The sequence below is a fragment of the Homo sapiens genome, chromosome 11, assembly GCF_000001405.40.
Source record: "Homo sapiens chromosome 11, GRCh38.p14 Primary Assembly".
Lineage (NCBI taxonomy): Eukaryota > Metazoa > Chordata > Mammalia > Primates > Hominidae > Homo > Homo sapiens.
Window position 1 is genome coordinate 93,187,217 of NC_000011.10, and position 26,598 is coordinate 93,213,814.

The window sequence follows — 26,598 nt, forward strand, 5'->3', positions numbered from 1 at the left end:
TAAGTAACTTGTTCTTTTTCCTAGAGTTCCTGAAGATATTTTCTTTGTCTTTAAAGTCTAGTAACTTTACTACATGTCTTGGGGTTGACCATGCTAAGTCAGTTTTCCCAGGGCTACAGTGGGCCCCTTTTGATATGTTGATTTAGGTTTTTTCTTATTTCTACTATAAAGTTTTCTTGGATAATAGCTTTAAATATGTATTTGGTTCAAATACTTCTTCTTTAGATATTTCAATTACATGCATGTTGGGTCTTCTTTGCCTGTCTTCCATTCAACCACTTTATATCTCTGACCCTTCTGATGTCTGTCTTTACCTCATTCTCATTCATATCTGCCTTAAGTGACACATTAAATTTTCATTTCAATACATTCTCCCTTACATCTTGTAATTTATTTCTTATTTGTGATTTTTCCTATTTCTAAGTATTTCATACACAGGAATCCTAGTTCAAGAGTGTTCCCTCTGTCACTATAGTGAAGTTCAGTTTATTTCAAAGACAATGTTGAGCTGTTAGGGGTGAGCAAAAGCAGCTGGCATGTCTTCTAGTTCTCTTTCATTTCTGCAGGACCACCAATTTTCCCCATTACTTTGTTCTTTCCCTCCCTTGCCATCTGAGGGGCATCTCCACTGCTCTATTTATCTCTCACCTCCAGAAGCAATGTTTTGTCAAGGCTTCCCCCTTCAGTCCTGCTCAAATTCACATTCCTGTACTCAGTGCTATGAATTACTAACTTCTAGACCTGACCTCTGTTTAGACGTTTAACAGTTTAAATTAGACTTTCTCTTTCTGAAGGAGATTTTCATGGTGCTTGATCCAGTTTCCTGCTCCCCGCTCTTCTTTTCCAACGAAATACTAAAGACTCCCCTCCCCCACTCTCCATGCTTGTAGCAGCAACAAAAATTTTCTGTTTTTATACTTATAGATAATTTGAGGTTCATGGTATCCTTGATCTCCTCGCAATGCTAAAAGAGTAATTTCATGAATGGTTTACTTGTGCTTCAAGTTGAATTCACAGGTTTTAGGGGAGGATGTGTTGAGAGATCAGGATTTTAGCAGGCTCCATTAGCCCAGTGCCAACTGGAATTCAGCATATTCATTCTTAATAAGAGTAAAGTGATGCCTTAAGATACTGGAAGATGCTTGAAAACAGTCTATAAAATTATTTACATATTCTTCTTCTAATAACGTAACTAATATGTGTAGAGTAAAATTCACAGAATTATCAGTTCCAAATTCCTGAAGTCAAAACTGATGAGGATTTTCTATAATTCAAAGTTCCCAACTTTTCTTTTGGCTGGTTTTTCTAACCCTTTAATCTTTAGGACATTCTCCATACATTGTTTTGTAGGATTTCCTTGTTTCTTGTTTTCCAGTTTCAAAGGTGGCACGGTCTAGAACTATACACAGTAAAAATTGTTTCCCCAGTATTAGGTCTACTGGGATATCTACTATCTCACATTTACTCTAGAAATTTATTATGTTCACCTTCTGTTTGGATAAAGCCTATATCCTTTTCTGTTATACTCTATACAAAATACACTGGTACTCTTGTAAACCTATCACATTGGTTTCCTAGGGCTCTCATAATCAAGTACTACAAGAGAATTTATTGCCTCAAAGTTCTAGAGGCTATTAGTCTGAAAAAGTGCTGGGAGGGTTGGTTCCTTCTAAAGGCTGGGAGGGAAAGCTCTGTTCCAGGCAGGCCTCTCTCCTTGGTTTATGGACAGTCATCTTCAAGTTCACATGACATTCTCTCTGTAATCATGTCTGTGTTTAAATTTCCCCTTTTTATAAGGACACCAGTCATATTGGATTAGGGACCCTCCCTACTCCAGCAAAGCCTCACCTTTTTTTTTTTTTTAGACAAGAGTTTTGCTCTTGTTGACCAGGCTGGAGTACAATGGTGCGATCTTGGCTCACTGCAATCTCTGCCCCGCCAAGTTCAAGCAATTCTCCTGCCTCAGCCTCCAGAGTAGCTGGGATAACAGGTGTGCACCACCACGCCCAGCTAATTTTTGTATTTTTAGTAGAGACAGGGTTTCACCATGTTGGTCATGCTGGTCTCGAACTCCTAACCTCAGGTGCCTCAGCCTCCCAAAGTGCTGGGATTACAGGCATCAGCCACTGCTCCTGGCCATGGTCTCATCTTAACTAATTACAGCTACAATTACCCTATTTCTAAATAAGGTCACATCCTGAGGTATGCAAGGCTATGACAACATATAAATTGAGGGGTGGGGGGACTATTTAATCCATAACAACCATCATTATTAGTTGTATGAACTTCAGTTTCAACCATCAGTATGTTAATATTTTTATTCCTAAATGTACTCCACTGCCCTTGCTGACTAGAGTTCATTTGCTTTTATTCATTTAGCTTATCCAAATTATCAGTTATTTGACCTTTCTGATTTCTTTCTGTCAGGGAGTGTGCAGTATGTTCTGTGCTGTACTAAGCATACTATCTGTCCTCAATAAAGATAGTTATCACTACCAATATTTCAAAAACTGAACAATCTGTTATTTAAAGCACACTGCCCAAGAGATCACAGCAGTAAGGAAAGTACGGAAAATGGTAAGTTTTTTCATATCTTTAACAACAATATGAACTCTAAATGATGTTTATTTGTAATGGCATTATTGAAGAGTTTATTTTTAATATCATTTAAAATAAACCTGGAAATCTAGAATTGTTAAAATTACCTATAAATACTAGTTTTGTAATTCACAGAATTAAGTTTTTAAAAATAGTATTACAATGTTCAGAATCCGAAGTAAAAATTAGTTGGGACCTCCGTCACTCTGAACAAACTCACATTGTTTAGCAGCTATCATATTTATTTAACTTTGTTCAACAGTGTGATCCCTATTATTACACTTTTCCTTACTTCTTAAAGTCATTAATTTTCAATGTTACATTTTCTAGAAAACATTAAACATGACTTACTGTGAAAAATAGCTTTTCATATATATATTTGCTTTAAATTCATCTCATCCTTCACGTTTAAAACCTTAACAAAAATTTAATTATTCCTGGGTACAAAAAATACAGATAGGTAGGAGGAATAAGATCTAATGTTCTATAGCACAATACGGCAACGGTAGTTAACAATAATTTGTTATGTATTTCAAAATAACTAGAGAAATGGATTTGAAATGTTCCCAACACACACAAAAAAAGGATAAATATTTGAGATAATGGATATCCCAATTATCCTGATTTGATCATTACATATTGTATGCTTATATCAAAATATCTTATGTACTCCACAAATACGTACAATTACTTGCCCACAAAAATTTTTTTTATTGAATTATTCCAGGAAACTCCTTTAACTCTCTTATAATGAGATTAAAGTAAGTTAATTTTTCGAAGTTTAAATAATTTGAGATTAAAATACTTCTTAATAGTGTTAGGAATTTAAGAAGTACATATTTATTTACTATTTTGATTCTACCATTAAAGAACCATGCAATGTGACGTTACTAGCTAAGTTCTAACTATGCGCTTAAATACATTTTTCTTTTTTTTGAGACAGAGTCTCACTCTGTCACCCAGGCTGGAGTGCAAGGGCGTGGTCTTGCCTCACTGCAACCTCCGCCTCCCAGTAAATACATTTTTCTAACTACATCTGAAAAATCTCTAAGACTTTCCCTCCAGTTTTAGTATACAGAGAGGTAACATTACATACTAAAAAATGTTTATCTGTTAAACTAAGTAAACTAAGAAAAGGTAAAGCAATCAGGTTTTAAGACTGAGCATATCAACTTGAATGATATAAAACAGCTCTTAAATCTAAAGAGTAAATTGAAAGACACCTAACTAGAAATATCTAGGAAATACTTAGTACCCAAGAAGTTGCATCTTTAAATGGTAAGAGCCTATATAAACCTAGATCTCTGAACATTAGATTAATAAATAGAGTCAACTAGTCATTTATAACTTTTAGAAGCTCCAGGTAATACTATATATAACATGCTAAATTGTATTTTTGTTTCCAATTTAGGTATACACTATAGAAAAATGCAGTAATATGATTTCCTTACACTTAACTCTAATTTTTTAGGAGAGCTTTTAGCCCTGGCATTGGTCACAAGGCTGAGTGGGGCATTCCAGGCTTGAATACAATTGCGTGCTTGAGAAACTTTAGGTTGGTTTAATGTCACTGAAACTGAAGGTAAATGTATATGGCAGAAGATTAAGCTGGAAAGCTTGATAAGTTTTCTAATCAGTGTTGTCGAGAATCGCGTCCCTTTCCTATGGAAGGTTTCTGGCTCAGATTCAAGAAAGATGGCACCCATCACTACCACCATATCCTCCCCTTGGTTATTTCACACTGTGATGTCAGATGAAAAGCAGTGAGGTATGAGGTAAAGAATTAGCATTCATACTCTCTCTGGGAACTGCCTGTGGAATTCCCTGAAAGACATATATATGAAAGTGGTTACCAGGAGTTGTTTTTCCTGGCACAATAGACTCTCATGGCTTACCTTTTAGTTTGCTAGTGAAAAGGATGTCAAAGACTATGATGGCTTTTATGCACAACAGCATTATAGGCGAACACATTAAGGAAGCTGATGCAAAGAGGAATAAGCCCTCTCACAAAATTTACTGGTTTCTGGCCCTTCTCAAAAACCCCTATTAATAGAATGTCATCCTCACTAATATCCACTAATAGTCCCTCAACACAAAAGCTCTCTGCCTCATAACTGAATGTATTCAATTAAATAGGTTACAATGGTTTCCTATTCAATTTCACAAATATTAATGAGGCCCTAATATATGTTAAACACCATTAGATGCTGAGAATAATTACTAAAACTCAAAAAAAAATCCTGCCTTCATGGAGCTCAAATTTTAGTGAAGGAAAGAGACAATAAGATAATAAGTAAAACAGAGATAAGTTGGATAGTGTTAAGTGCTAAGGAGAAACACAAGGATTGAGACAGCCTCTAATTTTGGAGAGACAGCCAAAGGAGGCCTCACTGAGAAAGTGGCATTTCAAAGAAGTCCTGACGAAGGAGCAGGAGTGAGCAGCGTGGATATCCTGTGGGAGGGAGAGTAATCTAGGCAGCAGGAACAAAGGCAAAGGCCCTCAGGATGGGAGTCTGGTGTGCTTAAGGAACAAGGAGGGCAGGGTAGCCAGAGAGGAATGAGTGCGGGGGAGGAGTAGGGGATGAGATCAGATCAGAGGTGACAGAAAGCAGACTGCACATAGCCTTGTAGACCATTCTACGTGACATGAAAAGCCACTAGAGCAGTGCCTTCCAGTAGGAATGCAATGTAATATAAATGTAAATTTACGTTACACAAATTTTTTGTAGTAACTTTTTTACAAAGAAAAAAGGAACAGGTGAAATTAATTTTAATATTTTATTTAACTTACCTAAAATATCATTTCAACATGTAATCAACAGTAAAAAATTAAGATATTTTGGATTCTATTTTTCATACTAAGTCTTTGAAATGCAGCATGTATTTTACACTTACAGCACATTTCAGTTTGAACACACCACGTTTCAAGCGCTCAATAACCATATAACTAAAGGCTATTGCACTGAACAGCACAGCACTAGAGAGTTTTGGGCCTTGGAGTGATATCATCTGATTTACATTTTAACCAGATTCCTCTGGGCCTATTTTCTCATATGTACAATGAAAATAATAACTTCTATTACATAGGAGTTTTGTGATGTCATCACAAATGATAATGTATATGAAGTTATTATATATATTACATATATGTTACATAGATAGAATATGAAGAATGAAATAATGTATATGAAGCACACAGCCTAGACCCTGGCACATAAATAAGTAATCAATAAACACTTTTTTTGTCTTCCTCCATATATTAGAAGCATATTAAGCTCTATGGGATTTTTAAATGCCAATCTTTGACAAAAATTAGAAATAATTTGATAATAATTAATACTTCTGAGCATTTATGACCTATAAACTGTGCTGTAAGATTGAGTATGCAAAGATGGGCAAAACATGTTATATCTGCCAGAAGGAAATAGAGATTAGTGAGGGAGATAAACACTTAACAACTCAACATAGTAAACAGAGTTAAGAATATATGAAATAAAAACTGACACCCCAAAGGAATTAAAGATTATAGAACCCAATTTACATTACACATAATGTCTATTATTTTCGCCCAATGTTTTGCTGTAATTTTTGGCTAAGTACTAAATTGGGCAGCTCTGGAAAATGCTGTGATTATTATTGTAAAAATTAATGATGCCTTATAAACTAAAACACTATTAAGGAATAGGTGTGCTATCTATTTATGAGTGGAGAAATTATATATAAATAAGAAACACTAGCTTGATTCAATATTATACAACATTTATTATACACCATATATCTGATGTTAGGTGTATTACATAGTACACCATAGGGATACATTAATGGTGCATACAAATGGAACATTCTTAAATTAGGCAGTGCTTGTATGCTCTCTTATTTGCCAAGAAAATTGTTTGAATCTCAATTTTCAAGCCTAAAACCAATATAAATTTCAAGTTGTAGACAGAATGTTCTAAAATCACATTAATTTAGCAATATCCTATGTATTAAAGTCTTAAAAATGTTTATTTCTTTCACCTAGTAATTCTACTTCTGGCAAGCTAGTGTATGCAGAAGAGGATTTTGCACAAGAATGTTCATTAAAACATTACTGACGTTGAAAATTGCGAAACAACCTAAATGTACAGCAATCAGGAAATTACTAAATTAACTAAGGCACAGTTACTTTATGAAATATTGCACTGACATTAAATTATGGTTGTGAGGTCTGAGTAAAACAGGGAAAAGTGTATCATATGCTAAGTGGGAAAAGTTGAATATCTGCAATATGATTACAATCATGTTTTTAAAAATTAAGTAGAAATAAGGGGAAGTAAATATATCAAAATGTGAGCAAGTTTACCAGAATATAGACGGACAATTGGATCATTAGTGTGCTTTTCCTTCTCTGGAAAATGTAAAAAAATATAAAAATAAAAAAAATTTAAAAAAGTAGTTGTAGCAAACTTGCATTACTTTTATAATAAAATTTAAAAATCACTTGTATTTTGGCAATAGAAAAACTAAAAGAAAGTAGAAATAGTTTCATTTTTTAAAATAACATAATATTGTCACCCGAATAAAGTACTCTCTAGATATAAAATAAGAACCATTACTATTTTGTTCATTTCTGAGGTGGAAGAAATATACACAGCAAGAAACTTTCCAGAGGTCCCTATGGGATATGAAATAAAGTGCAGACCTTAAGCTATTTACATACCTTACGAGAACCTGTATCTTAACATCTCTACCAGTGCTTTTTACATAAATACCCATTTTTGGAAATTCTTTTTTTAAATTAAATAACACTTGGTCATTGTAGAAAATCAGAAAATATATAAACATTTTTGAAATTAAAAATTACTTCATTACCCACAAATTACTACTGTTAACATTTTAGAGTACATGTTCACAGGCACACACACATACACACAAACAACTCTCATTATGTTCTCATTCTGTCTCCTAGCTTTAAATACTATCTATATGCTGATAACATCCAAATTTACATTTCCAGACCAGACCTTTCACTAATGCTAGACATAAAATCCAATTGCCTACTTGACATGTGCACTTTGATATCTAATGGACATCTCAAACTTAACATGCCCCAAACTGAACTGGTCTTCACCAGCAAGCCTGCTATTCCTGCAACTTTACCCATTTGTATTAGTTATCTATTGCTGTATAACAATTTATGGCTATTGTCCGGAGCCCTCAGTTTTGTGCAACATGGAGCTTTCCTTAGGGCTGCTTGAGTCTCCTCACAACATGACAGCTGGCTTCCCTTCAAGTGAGTGATTCAAAAAGAGAAGGCAAGGAGGAAGGCACAATGCACTTTATTATCTAGTATTGAAGTCATACATCATCACTTCTACCATAATCTATTCATTAGACACAAGTTACTAAGTCCAGCCCCCACTTGAAGAGAAGGAAATTAAGTTTCTCCTACTTAAGAGAAAAACATCAAAGACTCTGTAGGTATATTACAAAACCACCATAATATCCCAGTTAATAACAATTTCATTCTTCTAGATACTCAGGTCCCTGGAGTCTTCCATGTCTCCTCCGTTTTACTCTCTAACCCTCACCCATTCTGTCAGGAAATCACACTGGTTCTTTCAAAATATACCTAGAGACTAACTATGTCTATTCACCTCCACTGCCACTACCATACTGCTCTGAAGGACACCCATATCTTTCCTGAATTACTGAAATATTCTTCTGCTTTTACTTTTGCCCCCTTACAGTTTATTCGTCACATGGCAGTCAATGCAATCCTTTTAAAACAAGGCAGATCATGACACTCCTCTGTTCAAACCCTGCATTGTTCTCCCCTTCCCTCAGGGTAAAAGTCACAGTTTACATTACCTACAAGACCCTACATAATTTGGCCCCATCGCCACCTCCATCACTCTGCTTCAGCCACTTTGTCCTCCTTGCTATTCCTTTAGTTATTCTTTCTGCCTGGAGTAGTCGTTCCCCAGATATCCATTTGGCTAATTTCCTTACCTCTTCCAGGTCTTTACTCAAATTGTACCTTTTCAATAAGGCCCATCCCAACCATTTTATAAAATACTGTAAACTGCCTAGCCCCCACCCTCATTCCTGATTTCCCTTACCCTGCTCTTGTTTTCCATAGCACTTTTCACCTAACATACTATATAATTAACTGGTTATTGTCTTTACTGCTTACTCTCTGCTTCCCATTACTAAATACAAGCTCCATTAAGAACAGGAATTTTTATCTGTTTTGCTCACGATGTATCTCAAGTGCCTAGGGGAAGCTCAATGAATATGTGTTGAATTAATGAAAATATAAAACTTAAAAAAACTGAAATAATTTGAAACTTTTTTTCAGTTAAAGAAAATGTACATGCTGAACATCTTTCCACATCACTTTTAATGGTAGGCAATGTAAAACTATACCACAATTTAACCAATTTCCTTTCATTGTACTTTAGTTAACAGCTTTTCTCTATATACTATAATGAAAACCTCTTGATATAAGTATGGGTTACATTACTTATTTCCTCGGGAAATATTCTGAAGGAGAATTGCTGGGTCAAACGATAAGCACTTTTTTTTTTTGAGACAGAGTCTCGCTCTGTTGCCCAGGCTGGAGTGCAGTGGCACGATCTCGGCTCACGGCAAGCTCCGCCTCCCGGGTTCACGCCATTCTCCTGCCTCAGCCACCCGAGTAGCTGGGACTACAGGCGCCCGCCACCACGCCCGGCTAATTTTTTGTGTTTTTAGTAGAGACGGGGTTTCACCGTGTTAGCCAGGATGGTCTCCATCTCCTGACCTTGTGATGATCCGGCCGCCTCAGCCTCCCAAAGTGCTGGGATTACAGGCGTGAGCCACCGCGCCAGGCCGATATGTACATTTTTAAGGCTAAATATATTATCCCTTTCCTGCCAGCAATGCATGAGAATACCCATTTCTCCATATCCTCACTAAGACAGGTTATTAATGAATGAAACCTGAGTTCACATTTGGGTTCTGCCATTAATAAGCTTAAAATTACTGTATCTATAAAATGGAAATCATGATAGCACCTATCTCAGTTGCTGTGAGGATTAAAGACAATGCATAGGTAAAGCACTTAGCACAGTGTTTGCACACAGTAAGCACGCAATAAAATGTTAAGTTTATTGTTTCTACCATTATTACGGCCTGAAAACAATTCCATTGCAAAGTGCCCTGCAGGCTATTAGAGGAATAACAACAACCTATCAGTTACTTATAATACGGTATTTTTTAAAGTTCAACGGTTTTCTTGAAGATTCCATTTAGATTTAATTTTTTAATTACATTTAATCAGCATCGAATGAAAAATACTCCCAAGTACAGTACGTATAACTGGGAGAGCGATCATTTTACCACCCTGATCCTTACTTTTTTATTTTGGACAGCGGGAAACCGTAAACAAACACGCCCTGTCGCCAAGAAACAAGATGGGAGGAAAGCAGCAAAAAACAAACAAACTTTGCCAAGTGAGCAAGCTACAGGTATCTCCTGTTCATTCTGGTCAGCACGACCTGTTCGAAACTCTGGGATAACAAGGAGTAAAATGAGGATTCATCTGGAGATTCCGAATGGGGCTGCAGCATTTGAAAAGCAGAACAATGATAACTTCCTTAAAGCATCATTGGGAAAAAAACCGTGAGTCACGGCGCAGGCTCTTGCGTCTTTGACGTGTACCCACAGGGCCCCGCCCCACTCAACACACACACTCACCCACACGCGCGCGCGCAAACACACACACACATATTTTAACGCCCTATTCAGGCCTGGGCTTCGTCTGACCAAGTTCTCGGGGTCAGATAACCGGTTCCTTTGCGGATGCTGACCACGGGGTCAGTTAGCAATCGGGCCTCAACTCAGGCCAAGCGCGGGGCCCCTGGAGGTGTGGGCGCACCCGACTCCCGCACAGACCCCCGCCCACGTCAGCCCCGGCTCCCTGCCCACGCACAACACCGACCTAGCTCCTCGCGCCTCGCCGCCCCGGCAGCCGCCGGCGTCGCCGCCGCTTCCATCTCTCGCGGGTCTCCAGGACGCCGCCGCCCGAGTGCTCACTCTCCCGCCGCTGCGTGGCCGGCGTCAGGCCCAGGCCTACCTCCCCTGCCCGGAGGGACCCGCGCCTGGTGCCCGCCTCCCTGCCCCGGCGCTCCCCAACCGCGCGGCGAGGAGCATGCGCAGTGGGACAGCCCGGCTCGGCGGGCACCGCCGGCGAGGGGCGGGAGGGGCCGAAGACCCGAGGACTGCTGCGAGGCCGGGTTGGGTAACCCGAGAGGAGGGTTGGGTAACCTGAGATCAGCGAGGGTGGGACCTTAGAGCTAGCCGAGACCCGGGCCCATAGCTCCCTGGGGGTTTTAAAGATGACGGCGAACTTAAATTTGGGGCGCCTGTCCGTATGCAAGGCGTTAGCGTTCTGTAAGTCACCTTGGAGAATGCGAAGAAGGACGGGATTTGTCCCCTACCCATGCTGAGGTTCTGACTACTCTGGTTATTCGTCTCCCTGTTTCTATAGTTAGAGTTACAGGAGACACTTAAATAGAATTTAATTAAGTCATATACAATTTCACTTTCAGGATATTTCAATGTCCTTCCAGATATTTGACGTTGACCGTGGTGCTGAAAGAAAATTAAGGTAAAGACTAAGTGTACTGATGTAGTTTCAAGTACTCCTAAGCACCATACATACATTATCTTTAATTCTGACTACAATTTGTGAGATAATTCTAATATTTACATTAACGCTAAAGATGAAGGGATTAAGGCACGGAGGTAAGTAACGTGTCTGGGGACAGGAAGCTTGTACATGGCAGAAGTAGAATCCTTCTGCCTTCAGAGCTGGAGCTCTCGAAAAATATGCAAAGCTGGCCTCCCAGATGGGTACCAATGAATATTCGATGAATCAATGGATGAAGCAAGCTTTTGGTTTAAAAGGAAAATATTTATTTTAATTTTAAAATCGCTTTCTTTTTTTTTTCACTTCATAGTTCTTGGAAGTCAGTACACCAGACAATCCTTTTTATTTGTGTCCGTTTCATTCAGTGGGGTTGCTTTAGGAAAGGGTTTTTTTGGGGGGGAGTGGGTCTGATTAACAGTCACTGATGTAACTATATGGCAATGGTGTTAAATATTTAAAATTCTGAGATTAAAAAGGTACGCAGTTACATACTATCTACATCTTTCCTCCTGTTGCATCCTCTGTAGGCTTTCACTAGATAACTAGTGATAATGACAGTTTGCCAACCCCCTTTCTTTTCCTTTAAGTGAACCCAATTTGTTCACATACATACACATGCAAATCCCAAAAGAAGGTTTTATTTGAAGTGTTCCTGACAAATAAAGGGGTAAAGGAGATTTTTTTTAAAAAAGAAGAAGAAGAAGAAATCTATTCTGGAACATAGCTAGAGCAATGTTCCCTAACCTGTGTTGGGGTGGATCACCTGGTTAAAGATCAGCAGGAGAGAAGATAGGCATCAGACAGAAATTATAGGACCAAGGTAATTTTCCATAAACCACTCATTATAATGAGAACATGTGGGACAGCATCTTAAAAGAACATTATCCTTTGAGAGTTAAAAGGGATCAAAAGTCATTGTCCCCTAATCTCAGCTTCAGGGAAAGCAGATCTGGCAATATGGAAGGAAGAAAAGTTTGACTTGTAGTATAGGCCTGAAATCTTTTGAAGAGGGTTGGGCTGAGGTAGGAGGCCCAATGTCTTTACAGTGATGTGGAGATAAAGCAAGTGATAACAATGATCATAAGATTCAAGAGAAATATGTTTTTCATGCATCTCTACTTGAGAACATATTTACTAGGACTTCTACTCCAGGTCTTATAAATTAGAAGCAGATATAAAGTACAGCTGTATCAAAATAGAGACATTATACAGAATGTGACAATTTGAACCCTGGAAATTCATTTCTTTTCCTGACTTTAACTTCTTGCATCACATCTTAACTACTTCCTTCTTTGCAACTGCAGCACTTTGTTCGTATCTCTGTTACAACACTTCTCCACTTATAATTATTCCTCTTTCTGGGCTTTATACTATGCTGTATACTATTATGTGCAAGGCACTGTGCTAGGCCTGTTGAGGAATTAACTGTATTTGTCTTTGTCCAAACAGGCCTAGCACAGTGACTTACAAATACCAGTCACTCAATGAACAGTTGTTGAAAGTTACTGAATATAGCCTCATAGGTATATGAAAGGAAACATTTAGAAGTCTTTAATGTATTCAAGCACATTTTACGGAGCACCTTCCATATATCAGGAAGTATGCTAGATGCTGGGGCTAGAAGGGCAAATAATGTTGGTATGGTCCCTACTGTCATGGAGTTCATAGTATATAGCATGTGACAGAACAGAACAAAACAAAATACTAAATATGTCATTACAATTGTTGGTTAGGAAAATAACAGGGTACCACCACGGAACCTACTTTAGATTGAGAAGGTGGGATAGTCTTATCTGAAGACACTTAAGCTGACACATGAAGGTAAGAAGGAGTTGGCTTGGTGTGTGTAGAGGGAAGAGCATTTCCAGCAGTGAATCTAGCCTTTCCTCTTTTACAGATGGAGAAATGGTTCTGTTTTAGACACCTGTGGAACATCTAGATAGAGTTGTCTATTATATAATAGTTAGATCTCTAAAGTTTTCTTATGTGAAAAATAATGTCACCAACCTTACAAGTTGTGAAGATTTAATGAGATAAAATATATAAAGCATTAACACATTGCCTGATTCACAGGAAGCATCAAATAAAGTGAGCATATTAGCTATAGTTTTTTTTTTTTAATTGCAATACAGAGGACAATTCAAACTAGCTTAAGCCAAAAGAGGAATTTAATGAGGACACTGAGATTGCTAGAACAGAGATGAGACTGGGCTCAGGACAACTGATTCTTATGCCTCTGAGACTCTCTTCTTCAGTGATCGCTTTTCTCTGTGCATCTGCTTGTGTGTCTGTGCAGGTTTCCACTGCAGAACTCCTCTGCTTCTCAGGTTCACCTGGTAGGAAACATGTTTCCTAAAAGCTCTCAATTCTTTTATCTTAGAGTTTGAATGATCAGAAACATACTGGTCTCTTTTTCTCGGTTTCAGTTTTAAACATTTCCTAGGGAAGAGCTGTGATTGAGTCATTTTGGATCAGATTCCCATCCCTGGACTAGTTAAGTAAGTGAGTGTTGGACAAAGTCATATATTGTGGTAGTTCCTGATACAACCATGTAGATGACATTGTGGAGAAGGAAACAGTTTTCCAAAGGAACAGCTGAGCAGACCAAATCCTATGTATCCTCTCTATTTGATTCCCCTCTGTGGAAAATATTACTCATTTTGTATCCTAAGGCTGTTGTATCCTTCTCTGTTTTCAGTGGAAATAGAGACAAGCTTCTCACCATCTTCTCATTAATATCTGGCTTAATGACTTCTCTATTCTGTTAATGAACCTAGGAAACATGCTGATCAGCACTGGTTCTCTTAAGAGGTTCTTTGTTGGAGTAATTGTTCCTGACAACCTTACTTTTATTAAGAATAACTTGATTTTATTTAACTCTTTATGACAGATTTAGCAAATTGAAAAAAACTGAAAACTAAGTGCCTGGAAAAGAGAAATGATGCAGATAGCAGAAGTTTAACTTCTTAACAAGCCTCTGCAATATTCTCAAGTAGATTTTTAAAAAAGATATTGCATCTATGAGACAGGAATAGACCGCCATAAAAAAAAAGGAATAATCAGGGAACAGAAAGTAGAGCCAAAGGACCAAAAAAAAAGAGCAAAGTGAAAAAAATAAAATGAAAGGATCCATCCAGCAATTCCAATATCTTAATCCAGAAAGAGATTAAAGAGAGAAGGAAAAAAATCAAAGTAATAATGTAACAGAATTTCTCAAAATTGAAGAACATTTGTTTCCAGATTTGAAGAATTCACTGAATGCCCAATACAACAAATGCAAACAGACCTAAGTCAAGATATATCACTGAAAAGTTTTTAGAACATTTGAGAATAATAGGAAGATTCTAAAAGCTTCCCCAGATTAAAAAAAAATGGGGGTGAAGGCAATCACATTCAATTGGAATCACATCTACTACTCAGTAGTAACATCATAAGCTAGCTAGAGGGAAATGGAGCATAGCATTCCAACTTCTGAAGGAAAACACACCCAACTTGGAATTCTATACCTAACCAAAATATCAATCAAATGAAACAGTAAAATAAATACATTTTAATATGCATAAAAGCTCAATGTGTACTTCCCATGTGCCCTTTCTTAGAAAGCACTGGAGAAATGCTCCACCAAAATTAAGGAATAAACTTAGAAAGAAGGAGACATGGGATTCAGGAAACCAGGAATTCAGCAAAGGAGAGAGGAACTCCCAAGAGGATGCCAAAAGGAAGTTCCAGTATCACAGTTTTGCACTGGGCCTAGAGAGCTACCAGTCCAAATTGGGTCAAGAAGATAGAAGGCACCAGGAACAGCTATCCCCAAGGACAAAAGAAACAGTGAAACTGATTGATAATCTGAAAAGGATGCAGAATTGGACAAAGAGACATTATTGAGAGCTGTAGGGAGGGTGAGAAAACTTAGCCACAGATGTGAAGAAAGCCAAGCAGATGAAAAAAAAAAAAAAAGGCAACTAACTCCAGTTAACATAATAATCATAAAAGAAACAAAAGTATAGTATACCATTTTGCCTTGGCAGTGAATAATACATGCAAAGGCATAATAATAAAAATGTGAATATGGTGGAGAATGTATTATAACTCTCTGAAGATATGCGTGGAGTGAGGAGAAATTATCTGTATGAAGGATTATGTAAAAGAGCTAAATTCTCACTTTTCATAGTTGTGAAAAAATAGTATCTAAAATTGAAAAAATTAATAGTGCTATAAGCATGTCATTTAGAAATATGAAGGCAAATACCAAATGGAATTACCAAAAGAGTTCAAAATATTTGCCTCTTGAAAAAGGAAATTGTAGCAAGATATAAGGCAAAAATTTATTTCGTATTATGTTTTATTTGATTATTTAAGGTAATGCATAATAAAAATAAATGTAAATTTCCAAAAAGAAAAAGTCATAGTCTCCACCAAATACTAATTTTTATTAAGACAAATATCCAACAAAGTCATCGATAATATTTATTGTTTTTTAAAGTCATGTATTTTCCTGCTCTGTAGTTGATTTCAAGCTCTTTATCTTTAATGCCAATCATCCCTATGACAGAGGACATAGCAGTTTTAGATTCTAAATTTTTAATGACTGGGCAAGACTATGAAGAAAGTGAATTTTCTGAAAAGTCCTTTGAAATTTCATGGTCAAAATGAGAGAGAACCTTTTGGTTAAAGACTATTGACCCATAAGAAATTGGTTTAAAATAATACTAATTTACCCAACTGCTAATACATTTTCTTTTAAAGTTTTTACATGTAAAAATTTATCACCAACTATAAATTATGTTTTTTTTTTCATTTGGGTTGGGACAGGGTAAATTTTTTAGATGATGTGGAAGTTTTTTTAGATATTGAATGAAACACTAGTTGTTTCACTAACTGACCTAAGAAAGTTTCCCTAGAAAAGTGTGACACTCTAGAGAAAAAGGAAATCTAAATTGAAAAACCAATTAACAGAATTTACATTCTTTTCACAGAATTTTCCAACAATATTCAAGTTTATAATCATGATACAGAAAACTAAGCATATAACACATGTTATTGGAAAAAATCCTCTCAACAATAAACAATCTAAAACATATTGCTGAAATGTTCATAAAATTTACATTTATAGAACTTTGGACATTTCTGAAAAGCTCTTGAATTATCCACTGCCCACCCCCAAAAGGTGGAGCTATAATCTGAAACCTAGTCTGTGTATACTTTTCTTTATTGTAATTATTATGACTGTAGTTGACCTCTGAACAATGTGGGTTTGAACTGCATGGGTCCACTTACATGCAGATTTTTTTGAATAAATGTATTGAAAAATTTTTTGGAGCTTTATGACAATTTGAAAAAACTCACAGATGAACTGTATAACCTAGAAATATTGAAAAATTAAGAAAAAGTTATGTCATTAATGCATAAATATATGTAGATACTAGCCTATTTTATTATTTACTACCATAAAAATATACACAGATTTATAAAAAGTTAATCGAAATTTACATGCACAAACACAGACTGTACCTGGCACATTTCACAGTCAAGAAATGTAAACATACATGAAGATGCAGCATTAAATCATAATTTCTTAAACTTACTTTTAATACATATGGTAATACCGTAATAATTTCATAGCCACCTCCTGTTACTATTGGCAGTGAGCTCAAGAATTGCGAGTATCCACTTAAAATGCTCTGTGATGCTAATCATTGCTATGTGAGCAATTTCTCTCTCTAGTAAATTGCCTATTGCTATAAAAAGTGATCTCTCATGGTTCTTGCCTGTTTTTCACCACGTTTAAGGCAATACTATAAACCTTGAATAACACCATGGAACCCATACAAAATGCCACTAGTGATGCTGAAAGTGCCCCCAAGAAACAGACAAAAGTCATGACATTATAAGAAAAAGTCAAATTGCTTAATATGTACTATAGATTGAGGTCTGCAGCTGTAGTTGCCCACCATTTCAGACAGATGATTCATCTCATAAACAACAGAAACTTATAGTATCGACAAATACAGTATAGTACTGCAGATGTGTTTTCTCTTTTTATTATTTTCTTAATAACATTTTCTTTTCTCTAGATTAAGCATATAGTATAGAATACATATAACATATGTCATATGTATTTTTATGTTCTCATCAAGGCTTCTAGTCAACAGTAGGCTATTAGTAGTTAAGTTTGATAGGAGTCAAAAGTTAAACACAGATTTTCTTTTTTTTTTTTTTGAAACGGAGTCTCTCTCTGTCAGGCCAGCTGGAGTGCATTGGTGCAATCTTGGCTCACTGCACCCTCCGCCTCCCAGGTTCAAGCAATTCTCCTGCCTTATCCTCCCGAGTAGCTGGGACTACAGGTGCATGCCACCATACCTGGCTAATTTTTGTATTTTTAGTAGAGACGGGGTTTTGCCATGTTGGCCAGGCTGGTCTTAAACTCCTGACCTCAGGTGATCCACCTGCCTCGGCCTCCCAAAGTGCTGGGGTTACAGGCGTGAGCCACCATGCCCAGCCTTAAATACAGAATTTTGCTGCACAGGGGTTGATGTCCCTAACCTATGCATTAAGGGTCAACTGTACTATCTGTATCAGGAAACATATTAAGTACCTTATAACCTTCTCCAATCATCTTCCATTTTTTACCTCCAGGTTCACTTTCCTTTCTTTTCTGTGTTGCTGTGTGCCCTGGAAAACTATCCTATATAGAGTGCTTCAGTAGGTTTCTTGAGCTCTGGCTTCCAATTAGGTTTGACCGTTAGAGGTACGGGAGGGAGATCATAGGACAGAGGTGAAATAAGTTAGAAATTCATTTCCCTAGTGCTCTCCTTACCGAATCACTCACTACAGGTTGGCTGCATCCCTCTCTGAAGGTCACAGATTCTGTCAGGCAGCCCTCTCCTTCCTGTTGCTGTCCAGATCTAGAAGGAGGAGTGCTCCTCCTCTCCATTGCCTGCCCTAAGATACTACATCTTTCCTTGTGGATATTTCTAAAAACCTGGTGTCTTAGTCAGTTTGGGCTGTTATAACAAAGTACCATAGATTGGGTGGCTTATAAATGAAATTTACTATAGTTCTTTTTTTTTTTTTTTTTTTTTTTTTGAGATGGAGTTTCAATCTTGTTGCCCAGGCTGGAGTGCAATGGTGCTATCTCGGCTCACCGCAACCTCCGCCTCCTGGGTTCAAGCGATTCTCCTGCCTCAGCCTCCCTAATAAGTGGGATTACAGGCATGTACCACCATGCCCGGCTAATTTTGTATTTTAAGTAGAGATGGGGTTTCTCTGTATTGGTCAGGCTAGTCTCGAACTCCCAACCTCAGGTGATCCGTCCACTTCAGCCTCCCAAAGTGCTGGGATTACAGGCGTGAGCCACTGTGCCCGGCTTTTTTTAATTTTTATTTTATTTTATTTTATTTTTTTTTTGAGACCGAGTCTCGCTTTTTCACCCAGGCTGGAGTGCAGTGGCGCAGTCCCGGCTCACTGCAAGCTCCGCCTCCCGGGTTCACACCATTCTCCTGCCTCCCGAGTAGCTGGGACTACAGGCACCTGCCACCACGCCCGGCTAATTTTTCATATTTTTAGTAGAGACGGAGTTTCACTGCCCACCTCAGCCTCCCAAAGTGGTGGGATTACAGGCATTAGCCACCGCGCCTGGCCTGATTTACTGTACTTCTGTAGTAACAAAGTACCATAGATTGGGTGGCTTATAAATGAAATTTATTTACTATAGTTCTGTAGGCTGGAAGTCTGAGACTAGAATGCCAGCATGGTGGGTTTCTGGTGGGCCCTCTTATAGACTGCCAACTTCTCATTTTATCCTCACATGGTGGAAAGAGGGTGAGAGAGCTTTCTGGGGTCTCGTCTACAAGAGTTCTAATCCCATTCATAAGGGCTCCACTCTCATGACCTAATTACTTCCCAAAGACCCCGTTTCCTAATACAATCACTTTAGAGGTTAGCACTTCAACATATGAATTTAGGAGGGACACACACAGATTATTGCACCTGCCCATACCATTGTAAATAGTTCCAACTCTAATTAGCAGTTTGTTTATGTGGGCCATCTGTTTCCTAGCAAGATCCTTATAAATGCACATACATAATCTCTTTGATTTATCAAAAAATTTTCAAGTATTATCTCCATTTTACAAATTAAGAAACTTAGATTAAGAGAAGCAATTTGCTCAAAATCCAATAGTAAAGCCAAGATTCTAACCCAGGTCTAAATGACTGTTGTCTCCTCTATCACATAGTCTCTAGAAACATTTATTCAGACAGTAGATAATCACATTCCCATCCCAAAAAGTTCTCAAAATTTGGATTCTTATGGGCTTTCATTACCCTCTCAATAACTTTTCTGGGGATACTGATATATACAGGCCAATAATTGTCAGGTAGGAGTACAGCAGTTACTAAAGTAGCTGTTTTCTTGATTTTGACCCCTATAAACCCTGACACCAGGCCTACTTCAGTCACAGGGAGGGCCCTGAGAACTCAAGCTAAAAGCTCATTCCCTTGCCAGGGCAGCCTCTGACCAAAGGAAATAAATCATGCTGCATAGAGTGGTACATAGGTGCCAAGTGAGGGCTCTTTCTCAGATGCCATGAATTCTCCTTATCATCCATCTATCATCTCTAGCTTTTTCTCATTTCTTCAGGGCATTTTTTTTTTGGAAACAAGATCTCACTCTGTCACCCAAGCTGGAGTGCAATGGCACAAAAATGACTCACTGCAGCCTTGACCTCCTGGGCTCAAGTGATCTTCCTGTCTCAGCCTCCCAGGTGGCTGGGACTGCAGGTGTGTGTCAGCACATTTGGCTAATTTTTTAATTTTTCGTAGAGATGGGATCTCACTTTGTTGCACAGGCTGATTTTGAACTCCTGCGCTCAAGCTGTCCTCCTGCCTCGACCTCCCAAAGCACTGGGATTACATGCATCTGCCATCGCACCCGCCCTCTTCAGGGCTTTTAAATTGCAGCAGAATTTCCTGAAATCTCCTCCTCTCTTCTCCTTTACCCTTCTTCCTGGCCAGTCTCAGGAGGGCCCCACTGAGGAAATACTGTCCCAAGACTGGGCCATCAGATTGTAGGTTATCCTGGAAAAATTGTTCACGGAGGCTCCATTTTTCTGCCTTTTGGAAGTGGGGCAGGAATGTGGGCAAAAAACAAGGTAGAATAAACAGAGTGATGTTTCTTCAGATTAGTACTGTTAATTAGATTCTTGCTCTTTCTCTTTTCTTCTGCTAGTCATATCTAAAAGGTAATAAAAGTGGGAGTCCTCATATCACAATGGTCTAATTAATTTTGTCAAAAGTATTAACAATAATAAATATAACAACAAAATCTAATTTGTATTGAGTAAGGCCCCATGCTAAGTGCTTTTCAGCTTTACCTAATTTATCCTGTACAACAGTAATATAAGCAGGTGTAACAGTCCTTCATTTTTAGATGAAAAAGTTGAGGTTTAGGTTTATCAGCATGACAGCAGGATTGTGGAACTTCCAGGACTTGTCTCTTCCCAGAAACATCAATTTGAATAACTGTCCACTCACAAAAATACCTTCATAAGAACCAATAAATCCAGATGGGCAACTATAGCACTTGGGTAAAGCACAGAAATAAGAAAAGATGAAGAGCATAGGAAGGATAATTTCACATTGCCTTCATCCCTTCTCCCACAAGCCCTAGCAGCACAGCATGAAGACAGAAACCCTCTGCATGGAGGAAGTAGAGTGAAGTGAGCACCCAACTTTTCCACAGACACCAGTGCCAGCCCTGCCTCCATGAACCAGCCCCCAGAGTCCCAGGCTCCAGTCCTAGCCCAATCACAGGCTGGCCCCTGCAAACTCAGGCTCGAGGCCCATCCCCAGTGCCAGGGAAGCCTCTGTGGATTCAGGCTCCTCCCAATGAACCCAGGCTCCAAGCCCACCCACCCACTGACCTAGGCACCAGGCCAGCCCATCAACAACTCTGCCAGTCAGTTCACACAGAATCTATAGACCGACTGAGTGGTGAAGGGCTTTCCCTGCCAAAGTTAATCAGTAAAGTTTGGAGAAGGTGCCTATGTCTTCCAATGTGTAGATACCAACACAAGGCCACAAGGATCAAGAATAATCGGGTAAGCATGACACTACCATTAAAACAAAATGAAGTATCAGTAACTGACCCTAAAGAAATGGAAAGCTACTAACTGTCTGACAAAGAAGTCAAAATAATCATCTTAAAGAGGTTCAGTGAACTACATGTGAATACAGATAAACAACTAAATGACATCAGGAAGATAACATGTGAACAAAATTTAAAGTTCAAAAAAGAACTAGAAACCATAAAAATGAACCAAACAGAAGAACCAACCAGGAATTCTGAAGCTGAAGAACACAATGACTGAACTGAAATATTCAATAGAGAGCTTTCATAGCAGATTCAATTAAGCAGAAGAAAGACTCAGTGAGCTCAAAACAGGTCATTTGAAATAGCCCAGCCAGAGAAAGAATAATAAACAACAAAAGGAATAACATAGAGTGAAGAAAGCCTACAGGACTTATTGGGACACCATCAAGTGAACTAATATATGCATTATGGGCATTCCAGAAGGAACAGAAAAAGAGAAAGGAACAGAAAACTTATTTAAATAAATGACAGAAAACTTAACAATTCTGGAAAGGGAAGCAGACGTCCAAATCCATGAAGCCCAAAGAACTCCAAATAGTTTGACCAGAAAGAGGTCTTCAGCAAGTCACATTATAATCAATTTGTCAAAAATCAAACAGAGAATTTTGTAAGCAACAACAGGAAAACAACTTGTCACGTAAAAAGGAACCCCCACACGACTTATCAGTGGATTTCTTAGCGGAAACCTTGTAAGCTGGGAAAGAGAGTGGTGATATATTCAGAGTGCTGAAAGAAAAAAACATCCAAGAACATTGTACCTGGCAAGGCTGTCCTTCAATAATGGAGAGAGAAGGATTTGCCCAGACAAACGAAAACTGTGAGAGTTTATCACCACTAGACTTACCTTACAAGAAAGGCTAAAGGGAGTTCTTTATGCTGAAATAAAAAGACACTTTAGTGAATCATAATTTTATATTTCCTCAGCATCCATTTTAAATATAAGTTGAAGTTTCTTATACCAGAAGCAGGGCTTAGTCACCCTTAACACGTAGTTTGCAGTTCTCTGCCGTCTCTTAGTTCCTCAGTGTGGTTCATCCAGTTATCTGTCTTATGCAATTGCTTCTTAGTGACCACTTCCATATGGAACAGCTATTAATAGATGCAACTTATCTGACTTATCCTACTGACCCTCCCACCCCATAGGAACTGCTCACATATGCTGCAGTGACCACCTCTCAGTCACAGCATCACTCCATGGAACACTTATCTACTTGCTCCAAACTCAGCAATTAGAACTCCTCATGGAAAACCTGGTTAGGTAGTGCCCCACACCCTGGTAAAGGCTTTGGCCCACAGTTCCCTCTCTTTCTTTTGCTCCCCACTCACTGCTTGAGTGAGAATTTCCTCAACAGCCCTCTCCTTCCCATTGGCCTGGATTTGTAAGTAATACACTGCTTCCATCATTTCATGGGTTTTGTGGAATTGCCTCCTCTGTGTCTTACTTGATTGGTGCACCTGAAGCATAAATTTTTTTCTGTTCAGGGCTTTCCTAGAGAGCGGCTATCTTAGTAGAAATAAACAGGACACAGGTCACAAGAGCCATAAGGGTGTCTGCCTGTATAAAAAAGTTTCCTAGGAGAGAGACACATGATCACAGGTAGGACACTTAAGCATTAGGTCATCCACCAGAATAAAGAAGTATCACATGAAAGACACACTGTTAGCATCCATAACCAAATCCCCTGGACCCTCACGGCAGGGCTAGAGTTTATAGCCACTCTCACAAAAGACCTCAAGACCAACCTAGAAAGAAAAAAATACAAGTTTTTTTATAGATGCTAATTAGTAACATGAAAACATGTAAAAGTATAAAACTCATTGGTAAAAGTGAGTATATTGTCAAATCCAGAATACTCTGATACTGTAACAGTGGTATATAAATCATTTATAACTCTAGTATAAAGGCTAAAAGACAAAAATAGTAAAATAACTACAATAATTAGTTAACTGATATACAATGTAAAAAGATGCCAATTTGTGACATCAAAAGCAAAAAAGGTAGATAGGGAGTAGACGTGTAGAGTTTTTGCATGTAATTGAAGTTATTATCAGCTTAAAATAGATTGTTATAACTATAAGGTATTTTATGCAAACCTCATAGTAACTGTAAGACAGAAACCTATAGTTGATACACAAAAGATAAAGAGAATGGAATCAAAGCATACCATTATAGAAAATAACCAAATTACAAAGAAAGACAGTAAGAGAAGAAAGGGACAAAAGATCTACGAAACAGCCAGAAAACAGGTAACAAAATGGCAATAGTAAGTCTTTACCTATCAATAATTAGCTTGAGTATAAATTGATTAAATGCTTCAATCAAAAGACAAAGGGCAGCTGAATGGATGAAAAACAAGACCAAACTGTATGCTGCCCACAAAAGACTCACTCACCTTTAAGGACACACATATACTGAAAGTGAAGTGAGGGAAAAAGATATTTCATGCAAATGGAAACCAAAAGAAAGCAGGGATAACTATACTTATAGCAGACAAAATAGACTTTAAGTCAAAAACTGTAAAACAGAGACAAAAAGGTCACTACATAATGATAAAGGGGTCATTTCTTCAAAATAATATAACAATTTTAAACACATATGCATCTGATATCAGAGCACCTAAATATGTAAAGTACATATTAATAGATCCAAAGGGAGAAAGAGCAATGCAATAATAGTATGGGACTTCAATACCCCACATTTTACAATGGACAGGTAACCAAATAGAAATATAAGGAAATACTGGACTTGAACTATAACTTAGACCAAATGGGCCTAACAGATATACAAAACATTTCTCCCAACAGCAGCAGAATACACATTTTTCTCAAGTGCAGGTGAGATACTCTCCAGGATAGATCGTATGTCAGGCTACAAACCAAGTCTTAACACATACAAGAATTTGAAATCATATCAAGCATCTCTTCTGACCACAGTGGTATGAAACTAGAAATCAGTAACAGGAGGAAAATTGGAAAATTCATAAATTTGTAGAAATTAAACAGCATGCTCCTGAACAACCAAAGGGTCAAAAAAATCTAAATGGAAATGTTAAGATATCTTGAGACAAACAAAAATGGAAACACAGCATACCAAAATTTATTGGACACACCAGAAGCATTTCTAAGAGTGAGGTTTATAACAATAAATGCCTAGATTAAGAAAAAGATCTCAAATAAACAACCTAACTTTATACCTCAAGGAAATAGAAAAAGAACAAAGCCTAAATTCAGTAGAAAGAAGGAAACAGCAAAGATCAGAGCAAAAATAAATGAAATAGAAGCTGAAAAGAACAACAGAAAAGATCAGTGAAACTAAGATATTAAAAATTAAACTTAAAAACAGAACTAGCACATGATGCCGCAGCCCCACTGTTGGGCATATATCCAAAAGAAATTAAATCAGTATATAGAAGAAATAGCTGTACTGTCATGTTCCTTCCAGCATTATTCACAATAATAAGATGTGTCCATTGATGGGTAAATGGATAAAGAAAACGTGGTATATAATATGTATATGTACACACAATGGTATTTTATTCAGCCTTAAAAAAGAATGAAATCCCGTCATTTCTAACAATATGAATGAACCTAGAGGCCACTTTGCTAAGTGAAATAAGCCAGGCATAGAAGAAAAATGCTGCATCATCTTACTTACATTGGGATCTTAAGAAGTTGAACTCATAGATGCAGAGAGTAGAACGGTAGTTGCTAAGAGCTGGGGGTGGAGGAAATAGGGAGATATTGGTGAAAGAGTACAAAGTCTCAGTTATGCAGCATGATGACTGCAGGTAATAATTCTCGAGTTTATACTTGAAATTTGCTGAGAGTAGATCTTAAATGTTCTCTCCACACATTCAGCAATAAAGATAACTATGCAAGGTGAGGGATATGTTCATTAGCTTAATATTGGTCATCATTTTCACAATGTATGCATATAACAAAAGATCATATTGGACACTGTAAATATATATAGTTTTCATCAATTATGCCTCAGTAAAATTAGAAATGGAAAGAAAGAAAAGACAAGCTTAGACAGACTCAGAGACTTACCCAAAATTTCACAGATCAAAACCAAATCTAATTTCAACTTTAGGACATATACTATTATCCACTCTGCCTCATAGCTTCTTGAGATCCTAAGCAGCTAAGCTGACAGGTTGTGAGAGCCACTCACAGTTCTGACCATTGGTCAGTGGTGTGATTTAGTCATTACAACATTGTACATTTCTGTCTATCCATTTTCATATAGCTAATGAAAGATTCAGAAGATCAGCCTGAAATCAGGTAACTGAGCTTCACTGATGGCGGTTAATTCCAACATAAATGCCACAACCAACATATTAAGCATTGTCTTCTGAAAATACTACTCTTTGAAGGACAATAAAAAAGTGACTTGGCCGGGCACAATGGCTTACGCCTATAATCTCAGCACTTTGGGAGGCCGAGGTGGGTGGATCACGAAGTCAGGAGATTGAGACCATCCTGGCTAACACGGTGAAACCCTGTCTCTACCAAAAACACAAAAAATTAGCCATAGTGGCATGCGCCTGTAGTCCCAGCTACTCAGGAGGCTGAGGCAGGAGAATCGCTTGAACCTGGGAGGCAGAGGTTGCAGTGAGCTGAAATCATGCCACTGCACTCCAGCCTGAGGGACAGAGCGAGACTCCGTCTCACAAAAAAAAAAAAAAAAAAAGTGACTTATGGTGAGTGCTGGAAAGGACACTTTTATTTTCCCACATGTAAGTTATTCCCTTTGGTATTTAACATGACTGGTAAAAGGCTTTAAAGCTTATAATAAATCTCAAGTGTACTCCCGAAGGCTCAAAAGAAAAAGGGTGCTTTACGAAATTTGCTTCTTTCCATTCTAAGCATTATGTATTGGTTAGACATTAACTTGCAAGGAAATTATTTCACTTGTGTTGTCTTCAAATAAAACTATTATCATGCCGAGTACAAAAGTCTGGGTTTTCTCTTGATGCTAAGGACTCATGATCCTCACATGTAAATTTAACTTGATAAGTCCTCTCTATTTCAGGATTTTAACATCAAGGTCTAGTTTGGGATTTAATTTGACAGGCTGTACCTGTCAGTTTTTGTATAGTTTACTTTCATCACAGTTCAAAAGGAGTGTGTGAAAGACTTACTTGTGGTAAGTAGGTCACCTGAGACACAT

At 37.8% G+C, this 26,598-nt stretch overlaps 1 protein-coding gene across 4 annotated transcripts in view, besides 1 other annotated feature; it reads right to left on the bottom strand.

The window, feature by feature from the left end:
• Positions 1-10,775, bottom strand: part of SLC36A4 (solute carrier family 36 member 4) — a 53,818-nt gene extending 43,043 nt beyond the window's left edge. For 2 of the 4 annotated variants that reach the window (NM_152313.4, XM_047426352.1), the window contains exon 1: positions 10,562-10,775. In NM_152313.4, the coding sequence (NP_689526.2) occupies positions 10,562-10,616 (55 nt within the window). In that variant the 5' untranslated portion in view covers positions 10,617-10,775. Of the gene's footprint in view, positions 1-9,975; positions 10,211-10,561 lie in introns of those variants that run through there. The other 2 variants (NM_001286139.2, XM_047426350.1) reach the window with 1 other exon arrangement.
• Positions 10,537-10,916: a silencer, noted in NCBI's record as "silent region_3834". NCBI's record gives its function as "represses an Ori minimal core promoter by ATAC-STARR-seq in GM12878 lymphoblastoid cells {active_cell/tissue: GM12878}" and the evidence as "EXISTENCE:reporter gene assay evidence [ECO:0000049][PMID:35858748]".